Genomic DNA, 27,959 nt, shown 5'->3' on the forward strand with positions numbered 1-27,959 from the left:
ACCTTGAAGACATGACATTAAGTGAACACAAAAGGACAAATATTGTATGATTCTGTTTATATGAGATAGTGAGAGTAGTCAAATTCATAGAGACAGAGAGTAGAACAGTGGTTACCAGGGCCTGCAGGGAGCGGCAATGGGGAATTATTGTTTAACGGGTGAAGAGTTTCAGTTTCAGGTGATGACTAACTTCTGGAGATGGATGGTGATGCTGGTCTCACAACAACAAAAATATTCTTAATGCCACCAAAGTGTACACATAAAAATGGTTAAGATGATAATTTTTTTTTTTTTTTTTTTTTTTTTTTTTTACTTTTAGTTCAGGAGTACGTGTGTGGGTTTGTCAGCTGGGCACAATGGCTCACACCCGTAATCCTAGCACTTTGGAAGGCTGAGGTGGGTGGATAACTTGAAGTCAGGGGTTTGACACCAGCCTGGCCAACATGGTGAAACCCCATCTCTACTAAAAATACAAAAATTAGCCAGGTATTGTGGCTTGTGCCTGTGTAGTCCCAGCTACTCAGGAAGCTGAAGCAGGAGAATTGCTTGAACCCGGGAGGCAGAGGTTGCAGTGAGCTGAGATCACACCACTGTACTCCAGCCTGGGCGACACAGTGAGACACTGTCTCACAAACACAACAAAAAGGAGCACATGTACGGGTTTGTTATATAGGTAAATTGCATGTCATGAGGGTTTGGGGTACAGATTATTTCACCACCCAGATAATAAACATAGTACCTGATAAGTAGTTTTTAGATCTTCTCTCTCCTCCTATCTCCACCCTTAAGTAGGCCCTGCTGTCTGTGGTTCTCTTCCTTGTGTCCATATGAACTCGATGTTTAGCTCCCACTAATAAGTGAGAACATGTGGTATTTGGTTTTCTGTTCCTGTGTTAGTTCACTTAAGATAATGGTGTCCCGCTTCATCTATGTTTCTGCAAAGGACGTGACTTCATTTTTTTTACGGCCATGTAGTATTCCATGGTGTATATGTACCACATCGTCTTTATCCAGTCTACTGTTGATGGGCATTTAGGTTGATTCCACATTTTCGTTATTGTGAATAGTGCTGTGATGAACATATGCATGCATGTATCTTGATGGTAGAAAAATTTATGTTCCTTTGGGTATGTACCTGAAAATGGGATTGCTGGGTTGAAAAGTAATTATGTTTTAAGCTCTTTCAGAAATCGCCACACTGCTTTCCACAATGGCTGAACTAATTTACATTCCCACTAGCAGTGTATAAGCATTTGAAATGGTAAATTTTATATTGTGTATATTTTACCATAATTTAAAAAAAAAAACAGAAGACACTGAAGCCACATCTATAACATATGCAAGGAAAGAAAGCATAAGAATGAATTTTATGTCTAAGTTGTCCTTCAAATATACAGGTTACGGACTGTTTTAAACATGCACAAACTCAAGAAATATGGTTCCCATTAGTGCTTCTGGAGGATATCTCTAGAGGGGAAGCCCTGCAGCAAGAAGGCTGATGCCGAACACTGAGTATGTATAAGTCTAAAACACAAAGAAGACAAAGGGGACAGAACAGTTCAAGAACATGAGTTCCGACAATGGAGAACACTGGAGAAAAAAGGGAGGCATGAGGTCAAAGACAGAATATGCTCCTTGACTGCTTGATATATAAGAACTATGAGTCAAAGAATATCATACAAAGCCAACAAATCAAATAACAGAAGTACACAGAAATTTAATAGTATAAAGACAAACATCCGTTAAGGCAATATTATTGAGTAAAATCTGGTGTGAAGGGGAGGAGAAGAAAACATCATTTTTCTCACTAATATAAAAAAACTGGCATACAAATTTAGTAACGTACATAAGCATGAAGGAATTGCAGGCAAATGACTACCCCATAACCCAATGAGGGCCAGATGTTTTATAGGCTCAAATTATCAAACCTTCAGAAAGGAGAGTAAGGAAAATTCTCTTCACTCCTACAACTGATCTAGCAGATATTAAAGCATGTTAAGAAACTTCAATAGTTAAATAATGTGGCACAAGTACATAGACAGACCAACAGAGCAGAATAGGAAGTTCACAAATAGACCAAGTATTTATGGAAATTTAGTACATGCTAAGGAGGCATCTCAAGTTAGTAAGGAAATGATGTAAACAGTGTTGAATCAGGGTATCTTTCTGAACAAAAAACAAATAAAATTAAGTTGGGTTCATAGCTGACATGATATTACAGGATAAATTCCAAATGGCTAAAAGATTTCAGGTAAACAATACAACCCATAAAAAAAGTTGAAGAAAATATAGCAGAATTCTATCATAGCATGGAAAAGATCTCTCTATGTTATTAAATCCAAGAGTAAATAAAAAAATGGTAAACAAGGGCAACTGAAGCCTAAATCAGCCAACCAACTAAATAAACAAACATAACGCTCACAAAAAAGTAAAGTCAAAAGCCAGACAACAAAATGGGGTTTTAAAAAAAACCATTTGCGACTCATATCACGGAGAAAAATCTAGTGTCCTAAAGCATAAAGATAAAGAGCTCTTAGAAACTGCTAAGAAAAAAACTAACGTGGCAACAGAAAGATTGCCCAATCAAACACAAATGACCCTTAAACATATGAAAAAAATGCTCATAATACAAAAACTTACTTGTAATTAAAAAAAAACTCACGATAAGAAAATGCAAATTAAATTTATACCAAGATAAAATTTTTCAATTTACCTTGTTGGAAAAAAATTCAAATGTTTGATAACATGTTTTATTGGTACTCAGAAAAAAGCATTCTCAATAATTACAGGAAAGAATGTAAATCAATATATTATGTATGTTGGGTGATTGGTTATTAAAGTAACAAATGTATATTCTGTTTCATTCTGCCATTCCACTTTTGGGAATTTATCCTGTAGGCCTACTAGCACATGTGCAAAATAACACATGTACATGGTTATTCACCATAGCATTGTTTGTAATAACAGAAGACTGGAAATACCCAAACGTCCACAGTGGAGGAGTGGTAATATAATGATATATCCATCCAGTGGAACACTACCATGGAGCTATAAAACTACCCTCTAGGCACTAAGAAGAGGCTCCCTTTTTTATGAGTGGGTTGAAATTCACAGGATATACTGTTATGTGAAAAAAATTCCAGGGAGCACAGTACATACAGCATGCTACTTATTGTGTTAAAAAACGGTGAGGGTAAGAAAATCTACTAAGTTTGCTTGCTTATGCCTAAAGAAACTCAAGGATACATGAGACTTTTGTACCATGTGAACTGGCTACCTATTCAAAAATCAAATTAAAAAGGCAAAACAAAATGCTAAGATAGTTGTGTTTTATGTTTTGCTTTACCAGAGGATCTGTAAGATGTGGTTTCTTTTGTTATCTCATTGCTTGATCTGGAGAAATCATAAGGAAATATGACCTTTCTTTGATCCCAATGGTAAGTGGCCACGGGGATCTATCCTTGCAGAGTGAGAATGGGAGACCTCCTCCCCAGCACACTGAGCCCTCCTCCACACTCCGCTCTGTAACTACAGACCCCACTCTTCCTCTGCAGGAAGGCTGTGACCTCGGCCTTGGCTTGGTTTTTGCTGTTCTAGAGGCACGTGACAGCTCAAGGAAGGTCGATCTGTATCTGACAAGAGATGTCTGTGGGCTCCTCAACAATATGAGATGTTACAACTTTCTATCCAGGTGTCTTAATTTGGGCTACAACAAAATACTATAGATTGGTGGCTTCAACACCACCTGAGGAAGCCCTGTGAGGAGAGGCTGTGATGATGGGAGGGAAGTTCTTGCATCCTCACGTGGCCTTTCCTAGGTGTGTGTGTGGAAGGAGAAAGAGCTCTTATGTTTCTTCCTTTTCTTACAAGGGCATAATCGTGTCTGGGGGCTTCACCCTCATGGCCACATCTGAACCTAAATGCCTCCTGAAGGCCCCACTTCCTACTACCCTCATTGGGGATTAGGGCTTCAACACATGAATTTGGGAAAACAGAAACATTCAGTCCAGAGTATCACGGGTTTGGATTTTGTATAAATTCCTAAACTGCATACTGTTTATTACAATGTGGCTCTTTTCTTTTGCCAATGCCTTTATACAACCTGATGTTTGCTAAGTCTAGGAATGAGGCAACAGTCTGTGTGTTGTCTGACGGATTGACATAAACCATTTCAGACAAATGGAGAGCCTCTCCTACTTCAATAGACCTCCTTTAGGAACCCATTTCAGGGTTTAACACTCTCAGTGGGATGGGAATTACTTATTGTCCAGCTATAAATACCAGTGATTCTTGTTCGGCACAAGTGGCTCAGAGGTGTGGTGAGGAACCACACAGACCTCGGGAGGGGTGAGCTATAAGGCGGGTTCAGACCTCAGACAGAATGACCTTGGCTAGGGGTGGCAAGAAAGGTGAGCATCTGGCAGGCAAAGATTCTTAGTTACAGAAAGGCAGATGGGCAGGCAGGACAAGAGGTCTATGGCAACCTAAACGTAAGGGCCAGAGAGTGAGTCCAGGAGTTGGGGCCTCAGGCTGACAGTACAGGTAGGTGTTAGTAGCACCATGTGCCTTGGAGGAGCAATGACCAGTCAGGATGAGGCCAGTCTCTGGTCCTCAGGCAGCAGAGGACAGACTGGGTGAAGACCTGAGGGTCTGGGTCCAGGCTGCCCAGGAGCCTTGAATTTCCCTGTTTCCACCAGGAACTCAAGGCTCTCTAACTCGACACATTACAATGCTTATGCTTCCAAAGTCCACGGAGAAGTCAAGGTCCTAAAGGCCAGTTTTAGTACCACTGCCCCTTGGTATTCATGGGGAAATTGGTTCCAGGACCCCTTTGGATACCATTGACAGGATGCTTGAGTCCCTTATATAAAATGGTGTGTATCTGCACACAACCTATGCACACCCTCCCGTATACCTGTAATCATCTCTAGATTACTAATAATACCTAACATAATGCAAATATTGTACTGTATAGTTTTTTACTTGTGTTATTTTTATTGTTGTATGTTACTTTTATTTATTTACTTGTTTTGAATGTTTTCAGTCAGCAGTTGGTTGAATCTGTGGTTGCAGGTAAGGACACAAACGGCTTCCTGTAAATGTGTGTGAGAATTCTTAGCACAACTTCCATCTTTGATATTTAAATCAATCTAATTTGGTTCTATTCTATTTAGCCTTAAATGAGACTACAAACAAAGCTGCCCATTATCTCTTATGAGTCAGCTATGCACTTAAGAATCATATTTCATTAGTTCCTTAGTCATCTTATCTAGACTTTAAGAAACATACTTTAACCCTCCATCACCAGTCTTTTTTGGCTCTTTAAAATCGATGTTTCCCTTCTGTATCCTTGTCGTGTTTTCCATGATGCTTTTAAATTCTAGTTTTGACTGGATGTTCAACAAGGTGCGAAGTGTTTTTTTTTTAAGGTGGTAAACTGAAAGTAATACATTTCTGATTAAGAAGCCTCTATTCTCTCTTTCTTGATAAGACAGGCATTAAAATATAAAAGCCAGAACATGAAATAAGAAATGCTAATGAAAATCTCACCAAGTTGGAGTTTAGAGTTTAAAATGTTGCTAATCTAATAAGAAACCCAGGATGAATGTGAAGGATCAGGCAGCTCAGAGAGGAACTGTGCTGTGCCTTCAAAATGTCCTCCAAATTTCACATGAAAAATGGTTTGTGATTCCTTTTAATCAGTGATGACTCAACTTATTAAAAAAAATGAAGCCTCAACAAGTACAACTGGAAAGGAGCCTCCCCACCACCTGCATAAATGATCGCTGTAGTCAGCGCCACTTGCATGTGCGGTATTAATACTGCACATTTCTCCTGTATGACAGATCTGGTTTCAATCTGTGTTTCTTCAATTTTTATCAGTGTTGGCCTAGATTTCCAAAGCTGAGCTAAAATGGAAATATCCTCCCCGCAACCCGCTTTAACCCATCTGTCTCCTTTTATTTACATAATATAACATCTTTTTCCTTGAAGAAGTCTAATTTATTTATTTATTTTTTTAAAAAAAGCAAAATGGAAGTAAAATAAATAGAAAGTCTTTCCTCACAAAATAAAACATAGGATCTTCCCTGTGGGTTTATACCTAACCAGCCCTCACTACGACAGCAAATTTAATAAAATATCAGTATGAGGCAAGGCTAAACATCAAGAAGAACATTTCTTTAATATGCCCATGACTTTAGAATCACCCTTCACTTGTCAAATGATTCAGTGACACCTTCCAAAATACAGAATGCAAGAATATTTCTGATAATCTGCTAATGTTGGTCTCCTTATTCCAAAGTGGGGAAGTCAACCTGGATAATGACTTTGCTAAGTGCCGGCATGGGAAGGGTTTATAATTATGCAGACTCTGTTGTTGTTACTGCTGTCAACAGAATAATTTATCAACTTATGGTGTCTCATCAAGGGACCAAAAGCACATCACCAGTAAGAAATGATTTCTAAAGAAGACTTAATTACCACTCTATGTGTTTTTAATGCTGGCTGAAAATACACAAGAAGACAAGCTAAAGTGACATGTGACAAGTTCTCATTTAGTCTGTCAGCCATGATAGCATATTCAGAAAGATAAACAATAAAAAAAAAGGATCAAGAGATAAAGGTAGATCCTCCCATGACCTCAAAATAATTATAGTATTTGCTGGTGAGGCCAAAGTTTCTGTACACAGATACCTGACATAGACAGCTCTATGGAATTCAAGGGAAAATTAGGGGAGGGGACAGGTGACAAGCTCAGTCTGTGGTATTAATCGAGTAGTATTCTGACTGAGCCCCATCTGAATTTTTATTTACCCATTCTAATATTTCCTGGAAACTAAGGCTTTTTACTTCTCTCTCAGTCTACTCAAAATGAACTACTCCCCACCCCAAGGTGTTGCCAGCATTTATTTACCCTTGTGAAGGCAGCGACATATCATACCCTTCGGTGCCTCTCCACTCCTTCTCCATCCTCAACAAGCAAGTAGTCACTAGCAATTAATCAGACCAGCTCAAAGGAAACACGGTGGCTTTTAGGCATACAACAGACCCATTAGACATGGAGGACAGAGGCCTGTTTCCCCTATGTTCCTGGTTTCTTGTAATAACACAAATATATAGTAAAAAGTGACAGGAGTTTTGGCTGAAGTTGAATTGTTAAAGGGATATTTTTAAGTAAAGGAAAAGTCATCACTGTTTATTGAAACAATGGCCTGGGCTGCTTTTCCGATTCCCATTAGTAGTAAACTTTGCTTCTGGACAGAAACCTTTTCTTTTGTTCTTTGGCTTGAAGCACATTAAATTCAAGTTTTCCTTAAAAATAAAATCTGAAATAACTCCTTAAACCTGCGGGCTGCTGGACTACGAAGATGGGAGGAGAGACATTTCAGGAGTCAGCTCAGGTACCTGTGCTGTAAAGCCTGGCACAGCTAACATCTAGAAACTGGACACAGATTAGAGGAAAAGCAGAAAACACGGAGTGAAGATCACAAAACAATCAAGATGAAGAATGGAGGAAAGGTTATCCTAAGAGCTGTCAGGGAGGGCCACAGCAAATGCACTGAGGGATGTATAGTTATGTTTGCCAACTGATGAAATAAATATCAACGAGGAGAAAAATCTCTTAGGAAACAAGCAAATCGACAAAAAGGAGATAAAGAAGAACTGCAGGTTTCAAATCTCTGGTGTAGATAATTTTAAAAGCATACACAAACATCAGATTTTAATGTCAGTTTTGTCAGAAATCAACAGGATTAACCATGTTTCTCTTTTGATTAGTGGTGATGGCATGCCCTGGCATTTTCTGTATTAAGTTCTCTGTAAGAGTCTGGGCGCAGTGGCTCATGCCTATAATCCCAGCACTTTGGGAGGACAAGGTTGGAGGACTACCTGAGGCTGGGAGTTCAAGACCAGCCTGGGCAACATAGTGAGACCTTGTCTCTACAAAATTAAAAAAAAAAAAAATTAGCCGATTGAGCCCAGGAGTTTGGGGCTGCAGTGAGCTATGACTGCGCCATTGCACTCCAGCCTACACCACAGAGCAAGACCCTGTCTCTAAGAAACAAACAAATAAACGAACAAAAACTCTGTAAGAATCCATGGGAACACGTGCAGTTTCTTGTGGGTCTGTGCACTTTTATAAACATGCTGTGCCTTTACTCTCTGTGCAAGCTTGTCTCTCGTTCCATCTCTAATTTGCTTCTGGCACCTCTCCTCTCTTCTCCTTTCTGCTTCTCCCATTTTTCTTCTCCAAGGGGCAGCCAGAGGTCCCCATCGCAGCACAGTTCCTCAGGTCTTGGCTTTGTTTTCCTCGCCTGATGGAGCAGTGTGACCAAGTGGTTCCCTCAAACACAGGCTCACTCTTTTAAGGGGAAACAAATAATCAAACCTTCCAGTCACTCACTGCAGGGTCCCTGTAGGTCCAATTCTGATGCCAGAAGGAATGTCTCAGTGTGGACTGACTTGCAATGAGGACCTAGAGGCAGGCACTGGCAGGTGAACCCCAGCCCCGCTGGCAATGGGAGGCAGCTTTTTAAAGTTAGAACATCATAGTGAAGGGAAGACTCACCCGCTCCTTCTCCGTGCCAGCTCTCTCTCCTTCCAGCTTCCTGCATTGTCTTGCTCTTCCCCTCACTTGTCAGCTACAATTGGCTGGAACACAGTCTTTGGCTGACTCAGAACGCAATGTGTAAAAAACTTTCAGTTAAATACTTCCTTCACTTTTCTATGATGATGAGGAGCTGTGCTCTTCTTCTCATCCTTCCACTTCCAAGACACTCATAGATTCCTGCTCACCGTCTCTCCCCATCTTCTCACTCTGCTCATACCCTTGGCAGCCCTAGCCCCACCCTTGCCCAGTGAACGCCTAAGTTCCTTAGCGCGTCCTCGGCCCTCTGTGACTGGTCCAACGTCCCTGCCATCTGCTCTTGAAGTACTGCATATGCCTGCCTTTCAGGGGTCTTGCAATTCGAATTTTGCATGATTTGCCATGTTTTTGATTAGTCTGGCTTTCCTACTGTACATATGAGGCAGACATAGCTTCCAGTTTTGTCTATGATGATCCTCAAATCTGGCACATATTAGGCAACCAGAAATATTTGCTGAATGAGTGAGTGATAAAAGGGATTGATCTGATATTTGTTCTATTCTTGTGATATGCTTTCTCAACTATTTTCTCCTTCTCTTGGTACCAGGTCTTTCCTGGTAGAGAGAAGAAAGTCACTCCGTTTTCTCATAGCCACTCTGAGGGCAGGCAGCCTGGGAAGTGGTCTGTGGAGGCTTGTGGCTGGCAATGAGAAGACTTCTCTTCTAGTTCAAGGTCAAGAGCCCAGTATGACCTTTGGCCAGAGACTTCATTACTCTGGGCCTCGATTTTCTCTTTGGTAAATGAAAATCAATTCTTTCTGCTTCTTCTGCCTCCTATGGGGCTGTTGTTGGGACAAAACTGAGTTTTAAAGGTGCTGTATAAAGATAATGGTTACACAAACATAATGCATCCTTAAAGTAAAATACTTTGTGGCACTTCTCTACCGTCTCTTAAAATTTCACCTACCACTGATGAATTCTCTATAATGTGGGCCTTCTTCTTTGAAGAAGCCTGATTTTCACAGAAGCTACCTTTTCAGTAAACAGATCATCCATCCATCCATCCTGTAGGCAAATTGTTACTGAGCACACAATTATGCAAGCAACTACAATACAGAATGGTAAGGTCCTGGAGAGGAGAAGTAGAGGCTGCTCAGGCAGAAAAGCAAAGCGTGCCCCATCCAGACCATGAGGTTAGAGATGGCTGCAGGGTAAGTGAAGTCTGCACTGGCATCCAAATCTCGATTAGCAGGGGATGGCAAAGTGAGGGGCGTGTGTGCATGTGATCAGAAGCCAGAGGTGAGAGGAGCCTGGAGGACTAGAATAACAGAACAGAGAGTCCACATGGCTGGAGCTCAGAGTGGGGCAGGAAGCAGAGGAGATGGTGAATAGGGGAAGAGGAGCTAGAAGGGAATAGAGGACAAAGGGTTTTGTTAAGAAAACTTGACCTTACCCCAAGAATATTGGGGAAACTTTGGCGAGCTTCAAGCAGAAACATTACTTGATTACATCTGACTTTCAAAAATGTCACTTTGGTGGGCAGTGTGAAGAAAGGATTAGTTACACAGGGCAATGGTGGAAACAGGAAGAGCGGGAGGACTGGCCCTTGTAGAAATCAAGTGAGAAATCCTGGTGGCTTAGATTCAGGCAGTCACAGTAGGAGTGGACTGAAGTGGGGTGGATATAAGGGGATGCCTTTACCGACCCAGAGATCAGGGAGGAAGGGGAGGTTTGCGGGGAGGAAAGATGATGAGGGAAGTGCTTGGGGTCATACAAATGGAGTATTTAGCAAGCAGCTGAATTTGTGAGTTAGGAGCTCAGGATAGAGATGAGGGCTGAAGACACAGGTAGATTTCAAAGTATTCTGCACAAACACTGCTAACTGAGGCCATGGAGTAGATGATGTGCCCCAGGGGGACTGTGTAGAGAAGACATAAGGTCTGGAGAAAGGAAAGGGTGCCTAGTAATCAAATTTTGAGTTACGGAGTCCAAGAAGAAGAAGGGGCGGTTATGTGGGAGGGAAGCCAGAAGGACATGGTGTTTGAGAAGATTGCAGAAGGTGGGGGTGGATGGCAAGCCATGGTCAACACTCAGTGCCACCCAGAGATAAGACCTAAACCCAGAGACTCTTCTCATCACAATACCAAAAATGTGGAACTTGGAGTTTTAGGTCCCAGGAGCCTTTGGGGGATCTAGAACAACACTTCCTTTATGTTACATCCTCTAGGAATCTTTGTTGACTTCTCCAGCCAGAAGTGACTACCATCTCCAAATATTTGTTGAGCCAGTACTCTTTGCACCGAGCACTGGGAATTGTAAAAGAAATAAACTATGGTGCTTGAGGGGAGAAAGCACTTACAAAAAAATTAATCATGGCTGGGTGCGGTGGCTCACGCCTGTAACCCCAGCACTTTGGGAGGCCGAGGTAGGAGAATCATGAGGTCAGGAGATCGAGACCATCCTGGCTAACACAGTGAAACCCCGTCTCTATTAAAAATACAAAAAAAGTTAGCTGGGCATGATGGCATGCACCTGTAGTCCCAGCTACTCAGGAGGCTGAGGCAGGAGAATCGCTTGAATCCGGGACGCGGAGGTTGCAGTGAGCCAAGATCGCACCACTGCACTCCAGCCTGCATGGCAGAGCAAGACTCTGTCTCAAAAATAAAAAAGAAAAATAAAAATTCACAACTCGGTGCAGTCTCTACTGAGTGTCCTGTGACCACTGCGGAAGATGAACGCTTGGCTGGATGGTCAGGGCAGGCCTCCACTACAGGACAGGGCATGTCAGGAGACAGAGCAAGGGAAATACTCCAGGTGGAGCTTCACTGCTTGGAAGGTGTGGAAGTGGGGTTGGCATGGTTTATCTGGAGGGCAAGGAACAGACCATGTGTTTAGAGAGGAGGACTCTTCCGGGGGAGCAGCAGGGGCACGGATGGAGCCTTTGGAAGGGGTCAGATGGAGGTGGACTTTGAGAGACGGCTGGAATTTCGAACTACATGCTGCAGATACTGGGACGCCAACTACAATGGTCACTCCTTAGGCACCATTTGGCTCTGATCTGTGTAATCTTACCTGTGTGATTATGGCTTTAATTTCTCTGAAAGCAATCTGCAGGTAAGGGGCATGTGTTTTTATCCTTTGATTGTTCCACAGGGACTAGCTCAGTATCTCTAACTCAAATATTCTTCATAGGAATGAAACTGCAAAGACACCTTTGTGGCCCATGAAGGCCAGGAATGGAAGCACAAAGCTCAGTCTCTGTGCAAAGAGACACACCGAGTAGTGTACATTGTACCCAATATGTAGCTTTTTATCCTTTATCCCCTTCCTGCTCCCGTTCTGAGTCTCCAAAGTCTATTATACCACTCTGCATGCTTGGCAAACAGGTGATTTAACTAATAGCATGATTTGCTAAGTCTACAAAACCTATGATAAACAAATAGGAGAACATGGGAGCCCCTGACTTCGTTTTAGGAGGATTGGGAAGTTTTCCTGGTGAGGATGATAGCTGAACGGAGACCTGAAGGGTGAAGAGCCAAGTGGTGGGCAGAGGGCAGGGGTGCAGCAGGCAGAGAAAAGACGCTGTGGAGAGAGAGCCTGTGGGGAAGGGGCATGGAGAAGCAGCCAGGCCAGGGGTACCACCGCCTCCTGACCATCCGCCTCTCAGGGCAGAGCTGAGCAGAGGGAGTGGTAAATGGCCCAGAGCAGAGGGGGTGGTAAATGGCCCACCTGAGCTGAGGGATGAAGCCCACCATCTCCCTGGAGCCCGTGGTCATGAGGTGAACACAACACCCTTCACGGGATGCTGGTCCTGCCCATTACAGAAATCTGGCAAAAAGAAAGAAGAAAATGGCCACAAGCATTCAGCATCTCCAGCAGAGATTGTTTTCTTCTTGGAAAATGATTTCAAAAGCTGATGTTGAAAGAAACATGCAAAATGGATTTAAATGCAGTTGAAATGAGAGTGGACAGTCTGGGCCTGCTGCTGATTGGAGACACTTCTCAAGCAGTGACAGCGTGAGAGATGCTGGCGCGCCACAGCCGCCCCAAATCTAGAAGAAAACAGTCTCCTCTTGACACTGACGCTGAGTCACAGAGCAGCAGCTGTGGAATTTTATTTACTTTTTCTAGAGTTTTACACTGTAATTTTAAATTATAAATACATATTATGTCACAAAACACTACTGTCTATTTGACATACATTTTCTGAATTGTGCCAGACACTGAATTAAGGGCAGGAACACAAAATTGAGGATAGCATGGCCCCTGCCCTTGACGACTGCCCGTTAAATGAGGAGGCAGACTCTTGGGTAACAGCCCATAATATCATGCAGAGAGTGCACACCAGTGGGATGAGTGAAGCGCTCTGATCAGAGGAAAGAGCAATTAATTCTTTTATTTTTTTTTAAACTTTTCATTTAGCCCTGCCTAAGCAAGGCCTTAAAAAGTTTGGTTATGAACTCACAACTGTCCCTCTCCATGGGAATCTTTAGTAAAAGGTGAAAGATGTAGTCGTTCTGACAAGAAACCAGAGCTTGAGAGCAATTAATTCTGAGAGCTGGATTTGGGGAAGGTTGTGCAGAGAAAAGCGGAAAGCAGTCGTTTTCAGACCAGAGCCATGATTGTCTTGGAGTTGACTGGACAGCTTACAAAAAAATGTCCTGTGCACATCCTATCCCAGCCCCAGTGAAGCAGAACCTCTAGGGCAGGGAGAGCTGGAAACAGAACTCTTTCAGATGCTCCAGGGTTTTTCTTATGCATAGTAAGGTATAAGAGCCACTATTTCAAGAAATGTTTGGGATTTCAGTAGAGAGGAAGAGGAGACTCACGGTAGAGGTGACACCATGAAGATGGAGATGTGCAAGTGATTGATCGGGCAGAGTCCTGAGTGCAGCAGGAGAGGAAGCTGGAAAGTCGAACCGAGGCTGCCCACCCCAAGGACAGTGACTCCCAACCATACCTGTTTATCCAAATCACCCCTAAAAGTGAAAAATATACCAACACTTGGCTCCGTTTCCAGAACTGGTCTCAGGTGGGGCTTGAGCATGTGCACGTGAGCAAAGGCTGCACGGGTGATTCTGATGAACAGCAGGGCTGAGCCCCCACTGCAAAGGCTAGAACCATGGGAAATTCTGAAGTAAAGGATGACACCAACCCCTTTTCCTACCCACGGAAAGCCTGGTAGATTCTAGAATGGCCATTACCACTGACCATGTACTAAAGACTTAGTGGCATCAGCTACATCCAGAAGTGAAAGACGTTCCGTGTGCTGTGGGCATACTGTGTGATTCCTTAAATGTTCTAAAACAGGGAAAGACCTACCATTTCCGCTCTACTCTGAATTCTGAGGGCCAGTTGGAATTTGTTCTTCTTGTAAACAAATGACTTCTGAATATCTAAACAGTAGCATGAATTATTAGACAACTGGATAATTTTTAGGAACTGTCAAACCAATGACATGTCTGTGCTCTGAAAGAGTTAAGGTCTGGAAGCAATCAGAGCAAAGATTCTGATTAGCACAGGAAGAGACAGCAGCAAGGATTCCAGCAAAGATGCCTGAGGCTACGCAAGTTAATTAATGACTTAACAACATCTCAGGGACCCCAAACTAACTGAAATCAACTTGTTGGCATCCTGAAAGTGAGGTGAAAGTGGTTGATAGAAATGTCATAATATTATCTCTTAGGATTAATCATCAACATCAAAAAGATAGGCTTATAGTGCATTAGTCTTCCCCCAAGGAAACAAAGGGAGATGCATGGATATTACCTACAGCTTTTAATCAGAATTATATTCATTGCAAATGTCTTCAAATGCATTTCTGCTGCTTCACGGACAGTCACAGATTTTATACCATTAAAGTATACCTCCCTAAGTATACTAGGCTGATGAGGCGAGAGCTTATTATGTGATATTATGTAGAATCAATATCTGGATGAATAAAGATGACCCAGAGCTAGTAAGTTACTCTAAGCATGAAGGCAATAGTGCAAATAATTCCCTAAGTTGTGGTAAAATAAGACTTTTTGTGTAAGGACTGTCCCCTTGGTTCTCAATAGTTCATTAGAGTTTAATGGAGGCAAATGATAAATTATACATTAGACTGTAGTTTAGAAACCCCCTCATGTTGACCCAGCTGAAGTTGTAATTTTAGTCACATTCAAGAAATGTATTCTTTTTTCTTCGTTCGTCTTCAGGTGCATTAATTAGTTCAAGAAGCATTGTGTAAATGAAATTCAATCAAATGATAAAATAGCTACTATCTACTGAGCATCTACTAGGTGCCAGGTTTCATATATGTCACTTAAATTAGTCTATTTAATCCTCCCTACAGTTTTGTAAAGTGAGGTATTATCTCCACTTTTGTAGAGAATGAAATTACAATTCAGAGAAGTCAGGTTAATTCACCCAAGATGAAAAGCTAATTAGTAGCAGAGCTAAGTCCAAAGATGGATCTTATATTGGCTCCTCACACTTTTAAAGATCAACTCATGTCTTCCAGACAAAGTTAGCCACTCCCTTTTCTGTGCAAATTTAGATCATGTGTGTTTCTATTACAGTACTTGTGATGTGATAATTATTCATGTTTCTTTCTTTAAAAGTTTGTGTCCTTGAAAACAGGAGGCATGTCCTCTTGTCCATCTCTGCGTTCCCAGGGTGCATCATTTATTCGGAAGTGTCTTGAGTACCTACTGTGTGCCAGACCCTAAGTTGGGCAATGCAGATATAGGGAGGAACAAGACACACATGCTCCCTGCCCTCATGGAGCTCACATTCTACAGGAGAGACAGTTAAATAATTAAAATAGAGTATAATAAATGCTATGACGGGAGAAGTATAGGGATTATAGGATTTATGAGATTAACCAGCAAAGCTCCTTTTCATATTGTAGGGAAGGATGGAGGGAGGGGGAGCTAGGAATGATTCAGACTAAAGAGGGAAGAGACGTCCAGGCTGAGGTGAGAGGGCTGGCTGTGATATAGTCAGGTATTGGGTGGAGGTGAGAAGAAGGGGGAAAGCAGGTTCTGGAAAGAGGAAACAGTATGTGCAAAGGCAAGAGGTGAGAGGGCAGGCAGAGGAGACAGATGGGGATAGAGACGTGAGCAAGGACCAGGTCATGAAGGTCCCAGAAAGCTGGTTATTCTGAGGCAGCTGGAGAGGCTGCTGAAGGGATTTCAGCATTCAGTGCCATGATTAGATTTGAAAGATCACTTTAACTGCAACAAGGAGAATAAGATGTAGGGAAGTAAGCAGAGAGACAGGAAGACCAGATAAGGAGACACCATCCTGTAGTCAAAGTGAGGGAGACTCTTCGGGCCTGCACTAGGTTGCAAAAGCAGAGAGGGAGAGAAGACTTTGGAGGCAAAATCAATAGGTTTGGTTTCTAATTGGTTATAGGTGATTTGTGAAGGAGAGGAGTCAAGGACGCTCCTAGGTTACTGGCTTGAGCAATTGGTTAGATGGTGGAGCCATTTTCTGATCTAGGCTTGGAAGATAGGATAATAAATTTGGTTTGGACTAGTTTCATATGTCTGGGGTGGACGTGCTCACTAAGCAGAGGAAGGTCAAGGTGGGGATAGGAGCTGGAGACAGAACTTTGGAAGCCATTAGCCATAAGACTGAGTGAAATTACTCAGAGACTGGGAGAGAAGAGAGCTCCATGAAATAATATTTGAAGTCGGATAGAGAAAGAGGAGGCAGCAAAGGAATCTGAGAAAGAAGGAAAGGCCAGATGGGAGAAAATTGAGTCTAGGATGATGTCTGGGAAGCCAAAGTAGATTTCAAGAAGGTGGGAATGGTCTCACCGGGCCCAACGCTTTTCCACGGTCAAGTAAGTGAAGCCCTGGACACAGTCCTCGAGTTTTGCAATGAGGTGCTCAGTGGGCACCTTGACAGCAGGGCCAGGCTGTGAGGATAGAGGAGCTAGCCTGCTGTAGGCTGAGGGCGGGGAGGAGCTCTGCAGAGGCAAAGGAATATCTTGAACCCAAGTCTCCTCATTGAAATGCAGAGGATGGTGAAACTTTTTTTCCCTTTTTCAGGGTATTTCCATGTAGCTGTGGGAGGCACTGCCAATAAATATATCTGAAGGGTAGCATAAAGCTTGGTGAAGAAATTCAGAAAAAGGACAATGGAAAAATAGACTGAAGGTGACAAAGAGCTAAGACCATGAGTCACTCATTTTCAGACACAATCTGTTGGAAGCACCGCGGCGTGCCATCCTGTTCCCCTTTGTAACCTGCAACAGGAACTGCTCCCCAGTGGGGCAACTGCCTTTTGCGGCCCTCCCTGCATGGAATTGACTAAATAGCAGCATTCAGACTATTCGTGAGGAGTGCGCAAAAGGGAAGACACTGATCCTTGGGGTTTCTGTGAAATCTTCTTCAATATAGACAAACGGAGGTAAGTTGAGAATCGAAGCCATTGCATGGCGCACCTCTGGTCCCAGTTCTCCTGGTGCAGCGGGGTGGGGGGGTGGCGGGTTTATCAGCCTCCCTGCCAGCTCTTCCTGCCTCCCCTGCCTCTCTCCTCTCCAAGGCACTTTCTCTTCAGGCATTACACACACTCTCTAGTCCTTCCCTTCTACCTCCTCCTCCTGCCACAAAGATGTGCTGAGCGCTGCTGGGACACCCAGTGTGGTAGTGGTGATGCTGCTGATAGTCATTTACTACCAGGCATCTTCTGCCACTCTCTCTATTAATCCCAAATGTTGGTCTGTGTCTCAGATGTAACTTCTGTACCCTGGGCCAATTTCTAATAAACATTTTCTCTGTGATTTTTGGTAGGAAATCTAAAATTCAGCCTTTCTCAAATTAGCCTCATGATCTTCACTGTACAATCTATTTCTCCACAAGTATTTCTTTTTTGTGGTTAATAGCATCACCATATTCACCATATGCTCAGCTGCTATTACAAGGCCATGTGTAACCACTTCCTTTTCTTACCTCCAAATGGCAGCTCAATCCCTTTAGTTGCTTCTCTGCAGTATTCATGGAGCTGTGCTTCTGTGTCTATGACCACCGTTCTGCTCAAACCTTCACCTCCTTTTGCCCAGACCTCAGGGAAGCCTCTGACCACGTGCCTTATCTCTGATTCTGCTCCCACTCACTACAGCCTCCACAATGCTTTTAAAGTCATTTTTTCAACAACACAAATCTGATCATGTACCTCTGGGACAAGTTTATAGACATCCAATGATTTCTTACTGCCAACAGATTATAGCTGATGCTCTAATTTAGCACTGCTCAAAAGGTCTTTAAAAATGAGTCTTACAGTAGCTTCATCATCCACCTGTGTGCCAAGCATAGTGCTACTTACTTGCTTTATAAGGATTATCACATCGAATCCCAACAACATCTCTGTAAGGTGTATATTTTAATTTGTTGTTGATTTGAGAAAATTAAGGCACAAAGTCTACGTGATTTGGCTTAGGGTCACCCGGCCATAAGTAAGGCAGGAGTGAAATCCAAAGTTTATGCATTTCAAAATGTTTTCTCTTTTTTACTTTTATGTATCAAGAAGTATCACTGAGCACATATTTGTGCCTTCTGTACAAAGGCAGAGGTGCTGCTGTTAGTCCTCAGGCAGTGGTTAAGATTCCTGCCTTGGAGTCACACTGCTCGGGTTTGACTCTTCCCACCCTCACTTTTGAGCCTCCTGACCTTGCGTAAATTTCTTAATCCCATTAGGCCTCTGGTTACTCACTGGTAAAACAAGGGCCTGTGGGATGCTGTGAGGATAAGTGAGGTTACAGATGCAAAGCCCTGAGGAAGGCATGCCTGGTAGGAGGCCAGAGCTCAATACAGTGAGGTCGCTCCCTGGGCGCTGTTTCCTGCTCCTTTCCAGTAAAGGCGTGGCTATACTAAGAGTTTAAAAGAAATCATTTATGTGGCTAGACATACTGACTTCTGTAGCAGAGAATAGATAGGGAGCAGTGGCTCTCATTAGCTTTGGAGATGATAATAAAACTGGAAAAGATCAGAAAAGTGGAAAATGATCTTTGCATCTGAGTGCACTGATTCATGATGTGGAAAGATAAAAGAAAGTCCTATTTTTTTTAATAGTCCTTAAAACGCAAATGGAAAAGTAAAAAATCTGCAGAAAGTGAGCCAGCTTTTCTTTCCTTTTGATAGAACGAAGAACATTCCAGTGGAAGGTGTAGAAATACATGGCTAATTTCCTGTGGACTAATTTAGCTTTCTATGAAATGAGAAAGTAAATAAATCAGGATCAAATAATTCAACATGCTACAAGCATTTACCAAGTACCCCGTTTTGATAAGCACCATGCTGGACATTGTGGGAAATATGTAAAAAGAAGGGGAGAGTTTAATAGTTTACAACTATTGAAGTTGCCTGGAAGAGGTATTTAAAGTAATTGTAACTGAAAACCTAGTCATATACCGTGATAATAAACTGTGTGCCTGTGTGGGGCTGTACCTTTCACACCTCACCTGTCTTCAGCCACGCGGGGAAGAGTACAATTATCCTGTATGTTCCAAGTGGGATCTGAAGTTTAAAACTTAGGTAATTTGCCCAAGTTCGTGCAGTGTTTCAGTGGTAGATTTATTATTTGAACCCAATGCAGTTCAGCTGCAACAAAATGCCTGTGCGAATACATAGCTATTACGCTTTTTACAAGTCTGTCAGTCTCCTTTAAAAAACCTACCTGTGTGACTTATTTGATCACTTTTCCCACACTGGAAGAAGTCCCACCAAGATTAAAAATAAAGATACCCAGCTAATTTTTGTATTTTTAGTAGACACCGGGTTTCACCATGTTGGCCAGGCTGGTCTTGAACTCCTGACCTCAGGTGATCCGCCCGCCTCAGCCTCCCAAAGTGCTGGGATTACAGGTGTGAGCCACCACGTCCGGCCTTATTACTTCTTTGACAGCATTCTTTTGCAATGTTCACAACTACCCTCACTTACGCATTTTGAAGTTTGGATGGTCATCGATTGGAATTTCTTAAAATGAGAGCATATCCATGCATGTTTTATATGGAGTTGATAATCACAACACAGGTGGTGGTCTCCTGGTTTTCCCTGTTTTACTGTCATCTCAAAAACAGTGACTAAGGAGCCCATCTTTTGCAGCTATCTTTGTACTACAATACAAATACAACATTTACACTTACATAAATAGCTTTTCAGGGCAGAAAATACAGCAAGATGAATCTGTCATTTTTATTTCCTAATACATTCCAGGATATTGTTTTGCTAAATTATAGTCACTAAAGCCCACAAAATATGCAAACTTCCTACTTTCCCCCCTCAAGGTACACTATCTGAAGGAAACCATTACATAAATAGTGCCTCTGCTAATTAATTACTGCTGGTCATACTCATTTTTCCAAACTAAGAAATGAAACCAAATAGTATAATTTACATTTTTTTCTCCAACTCTAGTTAAAAGTAAAAAGACAGGGATAAATTCAGCTGCAGAATGCTGCTTACAATGCTTCCTTTTTTTTCTAATTACTCAAATCAATGAGTATTAAAAAAGACCCTCATATTCAGTTTGGTTTTTGGTTTCACACAACAGGGTGGTTAATTAAAACCACTGCACATTCTGGTATGCAGTTTATGACTGTGAAAAGGTCACACACTTGAAAATAAAGTTCACTACGCCTCCTGCATTTAGCTAAATAATCACAGAGGGGGTTTAAAAATAATTTATAGCCCTCCCTTCCAAGAGGCTTTTCTTTTCCCTGTTTACTCATGACTTCCCATCAGCACCTCCTCTCAGCACCTCAGGGAGATCATACTGATAGGATCTCTCCAAATTCCTCAGTAAAGTTACAATTTTGCAGAGAGCATGAGAAAACAAGCATCCTGGTTCTGGTAAAAACAAAACAAGACATCATCCTGGAAAAATGACATTCCAGAACTGGAACACATAGCTAAGCATCCATTGGATAGCTGCAGCACTGATCGCCCAGGTAAATGTCACAAAAATATCTACTTTAAAGACACTATCTTTTTGGTTAAGAAGAGTCACCTCTGCCTCTCCTTTGAGAGGTCTCTAAATTCAGACAGGGCATCCACTGGCCCCAAACCCCACAGACCTCACCGCATCGAATGAAAACCAAGGTTCATCTCATCTTTTCAAAACAAATCATAAACTTCAGACATGCCTACGCCTTTTCATGCTATCAGTGTCTGATTAATGCATTTGTGTGTGAATATATTTCAGTTTTTCTCCATTTCTAAAAACATTCACTCTGTTTAACTCTTCCAGACCTTTACTATGTGTAGTTTTGTATTGCTGATTAGTTTCAGGACTGCTGCTCTATATTCTAAAACAGTGGTTCCCAATCTTTTTGGCACCAGGGACCAGATTCGTGGAAGACATTTTTTCCACAGACAGGGGCTTGGGCGAGGGGTGGTTTTGGGATAAAACTGTTGCATCGCAGGTCATTAGGCATTAGAGTCCCATATGGAGTGTGCAACCTAGATCCCTCGCATGTGCAGTTCACAATAGGGTTCACGCTCCTATGAGAATCTAATGCCATCGCTGATCTGACAGGAGGTGGAGCTCAGGCAGTAATGCTCACCAGCCTGCCGCTCACTTCCTGCTGCGCAGCCTGGTTCCTAAAAGGCCTTGGGCCAGTACCTGTCCATGGCCTGTAGGTTGGGGACCCCTGTTCTAAAATTTTAGTGAATATTTTGCTTCTATCTATCTGATGGCTGTTAGGGTAAAAAATGTTGGTCATACATTATCACTTAAACTACGTCAGCTGCAGATGAACAAAAACTCAGTAAATTGGCAGATTCATCATGATACGACTGACTTCTCTCATGTGTCTTTTCCTCCCATTGATTCTTTCTACAATGAACATTCTTTTAGCCTTAGAAATATAAAAATAGGACATCATAACAAAGTATGGTTAGAACAAAAGACAAATTCTGGTGTCCTAGATTAGAAGAAAGGAAAAGGCTTGGTATATAGAATTTAAAGAAAATTAGGTGGGTGCCCCTTTGACCATTATTTCAAGTGGGGTTATTTTCCTTAGTTAAAATATTTTACAATATCATCACTGTGTTTTACAATGCCAGTGTCTTATCTCCAGGAGGTCAACTTGTATTTGTATTATTCAACATTTCCAATTTGTAATGACTTTAGCAAGAAGTAAGAGTTAATCTTTACCAACTTCCTGAGAAAGTGGTAGACAATAAGCTGTGGGAGACAGTCTGATGAACTTACGGTGAGCTAAAGACAGCAGGTGATTAAAAACATATGACTGTGGGTTTTAATCCCAGCCACTCCCTCAATCTGCTGAAGAGCTAAGGAAGAAGTCATGAACACCTATTCAATTTCAACATCTAAAATGTCACGTGAGGATCAGAATAACCACACTGAGTAACACTATCAACACCATGGGCTGTTTAGTGAGGACTTATAATAGTGACTGAGAGTATGATTACAAACATAAGGGGTTGAATATTGAATATTAATTAACATTTACTTTAATATTGAATGTTTAATAACAGTCACATTCATAAGTTGAAAATATCTAAGTAGAGAGGTTAAATGGCTTACCAAAGGTCACATAACGAATTGGTTTCTAAGCTAAGATCAAATCTATAATTTATTGCCTTAATTTTCCTCATGTTATGTTAAATTTAACAACAATAAAACCTAGATTATTAATATTCTTGCAACCAGGAATCTTAATTAACTTGCACATCCACTCACCAGTAAAACAGCTGGTGTTTTGTTTGTTTGTTTGTTTTTTACTTTAAGTTCTGGGATACATGTGCAGAACGTGCAGGTTTTTACACAGGTATACATGTGCCATGGTGGTTTGCTGCACCAATCAATTCATTATCTAGGTTTTAAGCCCCACATGCATTAGGTATTTGTCCTAATGCTCTCCCTCCCTTGACCCCACCCCCGCAACAGGTGCTACTGTATGATGTTCCCCTCCCTGTGTCCATGTGTTCTCATTGTTCAACTCCCACCTATGAGTGAGAACATGCCATGTTTGGTTTTCTGTTCCCGTGTTAGTTTGCTAAGAATAATGGCTTCCAGCTTCATGCATGGTCCCTGCAAAGGACATGAACTCACTCATGTTTATGGGTGCATAGTATTCCATGGTCCATATGTGCCACATTTTCTTTGTCCAGTCTATCATTGATGGACATTTGGGTTGGTTCTAAGTCTTTGCTACTGTAAATAGTGCTGCAATAAACATATGTGTGCATGTGTCTTTATGGTAGAATGATTTATAATTCTTTGGGTGTAAACCCAGTAATGGGATTGCTGGGTCAAATGGTATTTCTGGTTCTTGATCCTTGAGGAATTGCCACACTGTCTTCCACAACGGTTGAACTAATTCACGCTCCCACCAACAGTGTAAAAACATTCCTATTTCTCCACAGCCTCTTCAGCATCTGTTGTTTCCTGACTTTTTAATGATCACCATTCTAACTGGCGTGAGATGGTATCTCACTGTGGTTTTTATTTGCATTTCTCTAATGACCAGTGATGATAAGCTTTTTTCATATGTTTGTTGTCCGCAGAAATGTCTTCTTTAGAGAAGTGTCTGTTCATATCCTTTGCCCACTTTTTGATGGGGTTGTTTGATTTTTTCTCATAAATTTGTTTAAGTTCCTTGTAAATTCTGGATATTAGACCTTTGTTAGATGGGTAGTTTGCAAAAATTTTCTCCCATTCTGTAGGTTGCCTACTCACTCTGATGATAATTTCTTGCATTGTGCAGAAGCTCTTTTGTTTGACTAGATCCCATTTGTCAATTTTGGCTTTTGTTGCAATTGCTGTTGATGTTTTAGTCATGAAGTCTTTGCCCATGTATATGTCGTGAATGGTATTGCCCAGGTTTTCTTCTAGGGTTTTTATGGTTTTGGGTTTTACGTTTAAGTCTTAATTAATCCATCTTGAGTTAATTTTTGTATAAGGTGTAAGGAAGGGGTCCAGTTTCTGTTTTTTGCATACAGTTAGCCAGTTTCCCAGCACCATTTATTAAATAGGGAATCCTTTCCCATTGTTGTTTTGTCAGGTTTGTTGAAGATCAAATGGTTGTAGATGTGTGGTGTTATTTCTGAGGTCTCTGCTCTGTTCCATCAGACCTTATATCTGTTTTGGTAACAGTACCATGCTGTTTCAGTTACTGTAGCCTTGCAGTATAGTTTGAAGTCAGGTAGCGTGATGCCTCCAGCTTAGTTCTTTCTGCTTAGGATTGTCTTGGATATATGGGCTCTTTTCTGGTTCCATATGAAATTTAAAGTAGTTTTATCTAATTCTGTGAAGAAAGTCAATGGTAGCTTAATGGGAATAGCATTGAATCCATAAATTACTTTGGGCAGTATGGCCATTTTCATGATATTGATTCTTCCTATCCATAAGCATGGAATGTTTTTCCATTTGTTTGTGTCCTCTCTTATTTCCTTGAGCAGTGGTTTGTAGTTCTTCTTGAAGAGGTCCTTCACAACTTGTATTCCCAGGTATTTTATTCTCATTGTAGCAATTGTGAATGGGAGTTCACAGCTAGTGTTTATACTAATGAGACTTAACAGCATTGTGATACTGGAGTCACCACTGAATTAAGTTATAGAAGAAAGAAAAGAATTAATTCGGTTCCCCACAAGATTATCAGTTTTCAGATAATAAGACCAGAGTAAAATAGACTCAATATTAAAATAATACTCCATACCTTTTAAACTGGATAATTTTAAACTGCTGTGACTTATTTTGCTTTCTCTGAATGTTAAACAGAATTTGTAAAGAAACCTAAAAAGTGAAAGTTTAAATCACCGAAACCATGACTACTTCTCACCCACTGTTCTTTAACACTAAACAAATATGAGGATTGAATTACTGTAATTTCTATCAGCAAATAAAAGAACAGCCAACAGAACTAAAATTAAAGCAAAAGTAGAATTAAGTGAAGGCATTAGAGGGTTCTTGCTGGCCACACAGGAGACACAGTCACCTACAATCGCAGAGGGCCCTGACCCTGTCTGCCCAGGAGTATGCTTAAATACACTATTATAAAGTAATTAAGATATTTCAGTTCAAGGGGAAAATTAGAATAAAGAACTTTCAATAGGTAAAATGACAATTATTTGTAGGTGACATGTTTATTTACCTAGAAACCCAAAATAATTACATGAAAAAAATTACAAATTAGAAGAGATTACAGTGGCAGGATTAAATGTAATACACAGAAATATACAATCTTTCCATACAGACAATCTTAGGTGGAGGACATCAAGGAAGAAATACGTCCATTTATTGCAGCAACAAAAACGATAAACTGCTTAGGAATAAACTTCGTAAGAAGGACGCAAGTTCTACATAAAGGAAAACTTAAAATGCAATTACAGGACAGGAAATATTTGAGTATGGGAACAGCTTACTATGGTCAAGTTCACAAAGGGTAAAATTAAAAGTTAAATCATAAATTTATTGCAATCCAAAAATTAACCAACTGGAATGGAAAAAAGTTGTACCAGAAAAACTGATATTAAAGTTCATTTGGAAAAATGAACGAGTAAGGGTAGCTGAGGAAATGCCGAAAAGGATTAGAATAGGATAGATTCACACACAGAATCTATCCTGTAGATTCTCACAAGCATGAGTGATGAGTACAGAAGACACTTTTTATTTTCCAGTCAAGCTGACACCTACAGAAGACACTTTGAAGCCTCCTTTACACAGCAACATGAAAACCATCCAGATGGCCATGGGCAGGGACTGGTCACTTATAGTGTGCCGCTCCATGTGTTAAGAACTGCTCGTCAGATTTTATTGCTAAAGGACACGAGGAAACTGTTTAACAATGTATGTGGTATGCCATCACTTGTGTAAATACACATACACACATATATTTAAATAAACAGAACATATTTTTAGAAAGACACACAAGAGAAGTATACAGTGATTATTCCAAGGGAGGAAACTGAAGGCTGAGGATCAGGTTCAGGGAGAGATACCCCCTTATACCTGTTGAATTTTGCACCAAATGCACAAATCAATAATATGCTTTTAAGCCTTCTCAAAATTCTGGGTGATAGAACAAATAGCTAGCAAAAATCCTAGTCTGGGAGAATTAGACTGTGAAATGAAAGAAAGCAGGAACACAAACATATATACATCTTCTGACTTTATCATCAGGTATTAATTTGCATTGCTTTACTAAACAAGTGAAGTATTAGGTTTATTTTAATGAAGAGACTCTTTTTTTTTTTTTTGGAGAAGGAGTCTCACTCTGTCGCCCAGGCTGGTGATGTACAGTGGCACGATCTCAGCTCACTGCCTCCACCTCCCAGGTTCAAGCGATTCTCTCGCCTCAGCTTCCTGAGTAGCTGGGATTACAGGTGCCTGCCACCACACCCGGCTAATTTTTGTCAAATAAAAAAATTTGTTTCAATTTTTTCTTTGTATTTAGTTTAATGCTATCTCCATTTCTCTCTACTCCCTATTTCGTTAATTTTCTAAGATTTTTCTGGCTTGAAGTTTCATTGCATTAAAAACGTCTTACGATAATGAAGTAAAACATTTTAAAACAGGCACACTAACATGAAACATACTGAAACTGCACTGTAGGATATAAACAACCAGGCAGCCAAATTACACCCAGAGGTTTTTCCCTTTATAAATACAATAAGTTTATTGTTATGAAATACTCAATGAACGAACAAACAAATTAATTCTACAATTTCATCTTTCCCTTTACCAAGCTGGTCCATGTTTCCATTTTATAGTTGCTCTCTGGCTGGACTGCTCCATAAAACACTTAATACATCCAATTATTAATTATAGGAAGCTGGGGTTTGTGATCATGGAGAAAAGCCACACGTGATCCAAGTTCTAAACCCAGCTCTTGTCCTGATTTATGCTCCTCTCCCTCCTCCCCCGTGGGAGTAGAATGATCATTGAGCATTATTTTAGTTTCTGTTTCAAAGGGGATTTTGTGAGCTGATATATCTTCTGCTAATAAGCACAGCAGAATGGTGAACAGTGTTCTTGTGTTCCTGGGCATTTGGGTTATAGGTTTTCTGGTTGCAGAGAAGATAAATGCCTTCCTTCACCTTATTGTAGATAGCAAGAGAATGTATATGAGGTGCTACTTCTTTGTGGCCGTCTAACTTCTGAACATTTATAAGTTGCGAGGTGGGACCATTCTTTGCCTCTTGAGAAATTCAGGGACCATCAGCATCTCATTTTTTTAAGTATTTACTTAGTTCACACATCTGTTTGTCAGGAATTTAGGCTCAGGTGGGCCGGTCAGTTCTGATTTCAGCAGGGCTCATTCACATGTTTGTTGGACAGTTGTTGGCTGAGCAGAGAGGACATGGCCTTGGCTGGGATGACCAGGGCAGCTGACTCAGCTTCACAGGTCTCATCCTCCAGCAGGTCAGCCCCAGCACGGCTTCATGGGGAATGGCAGAGGAACAAGAGATGAAGGGCAAATGGAAAGTGCTGTCTCACACCTCTGTGTGCCTATCTGCAGTCATCTGGTGACTAAAGGCAAATCAGATTCATGGTTTTTTTTTTTTTTTAATTTCACAGATTTAGCAGGCACAAGTACAGTTTTGTTACACAGATATATTGCATAGTGATGAAGCCTGGGCTTTTAGAGTAATGGTCACCTGCATTGTGTGGTTTGTACCCATTAAAAGGAATTTCTCCACCCTTTCCACCATTTTTTCTTTCTTTCTTTTTTTTTTTGAGACGGAGTCTTGCTCTGTTGCCCAGGCTGGAGTGCAGTGGTGCAATCTCAGGTCAGTGTAATCTCTGCCTCCCAGGTTCAAGCAATTCTCCTGCCTCAGCTTCCCCAGTAGGTGGGACTATAGGCACCCGCCACCACGCCTGGCTAATTTTTTGTATTTTTGGTAGAGACGGGGTTTCACTGCGTTGGCCAGGATGGTCTTGATCTCCTGATCTCGTGATCTGCCTGCCTCGGCCTCCCAAAGTGCTGGGATTACAGGCATGAGCCACCGCACTCGGCCTTAAATTAAAAAAAAAAAAAAAAGAACTAACAACAAGTTACGTGCAAAAAAGCTTATGATGTGCTGTTTTATATCACTGAATGGAATCTGCGTTTTCATGAAATATGTTACACACACACACACACACACACACACACACAATCTGCATCAAAATAATACAGGTCGAGGGGGGCAGAACTGACCACGGGTTGTGATTGTGGGGGCTGGTAATCAGCACATGGGGTCCTTTGTACTGTACTGTTGAATTGTTTTTTATCCTGTTTTTTTTTTATTGTGGTAAAATACACACAATATTTACCGTCTTAACCATTTTAAGTATATAGTTCAGTGGTATTAAATACATCCCTAATGTTATGCAACCATCACTGCCATCCATCTCTAGAACTCTTCAACATGTTA

At 41.3% G+C, this 27,959-nt stretch overlaps 1 protein-coding gene and 1 pseudogene across 23 annotated transcripts in view; both read right to left on the reverse strand.

The window, feature by feature from the left end:
- Positions 1–27,959, reverse strand: part of L3MBTL4 (L3MBTL histone methyl-lysine binding protein 4) — a 460,543-nt gene that overhangs the window by 50,000 nt on the left and 382,584 nt on the right. Inside the window, exon 17 of one of the 23 annotated variants that reach the window (NM_001365767.2) lies at positions 24,668–27,559. The exons of the other annotated variants lie outside the window; for them this stretch is intronic. Coding sequence (NP_001352696.1) covers positions 27,399–27,559 — 161 coding nt within the window. The 3' untranslated portion in view covers positions 24,668–27,398. Of the gene's footprint in view, positions 1–24,667; positions 27,560–27,959 lie in introns of those variants that run through there. 23 annotated transcript variants of the gene reach the window in all.
- Positions 13,007–13,123, reverse strand: RNU5F-3P (RNA, U5F small nuclear 3, pseudogene; annotated as a pseudogene).

This window comes from Homo sapiens, chromosome 18 (genome assembly GCF_000001405.40).
Source record: "Homo sapiens chromosome 18, GRCh38.p14 Primary Assembly".
NCBI classification, from domain to species: domain Eukaryota; kingdom Metazoa; phylum Chordata; class Mammalia; order Primates; family Hominidae; genus Homo; species Homo sapiens.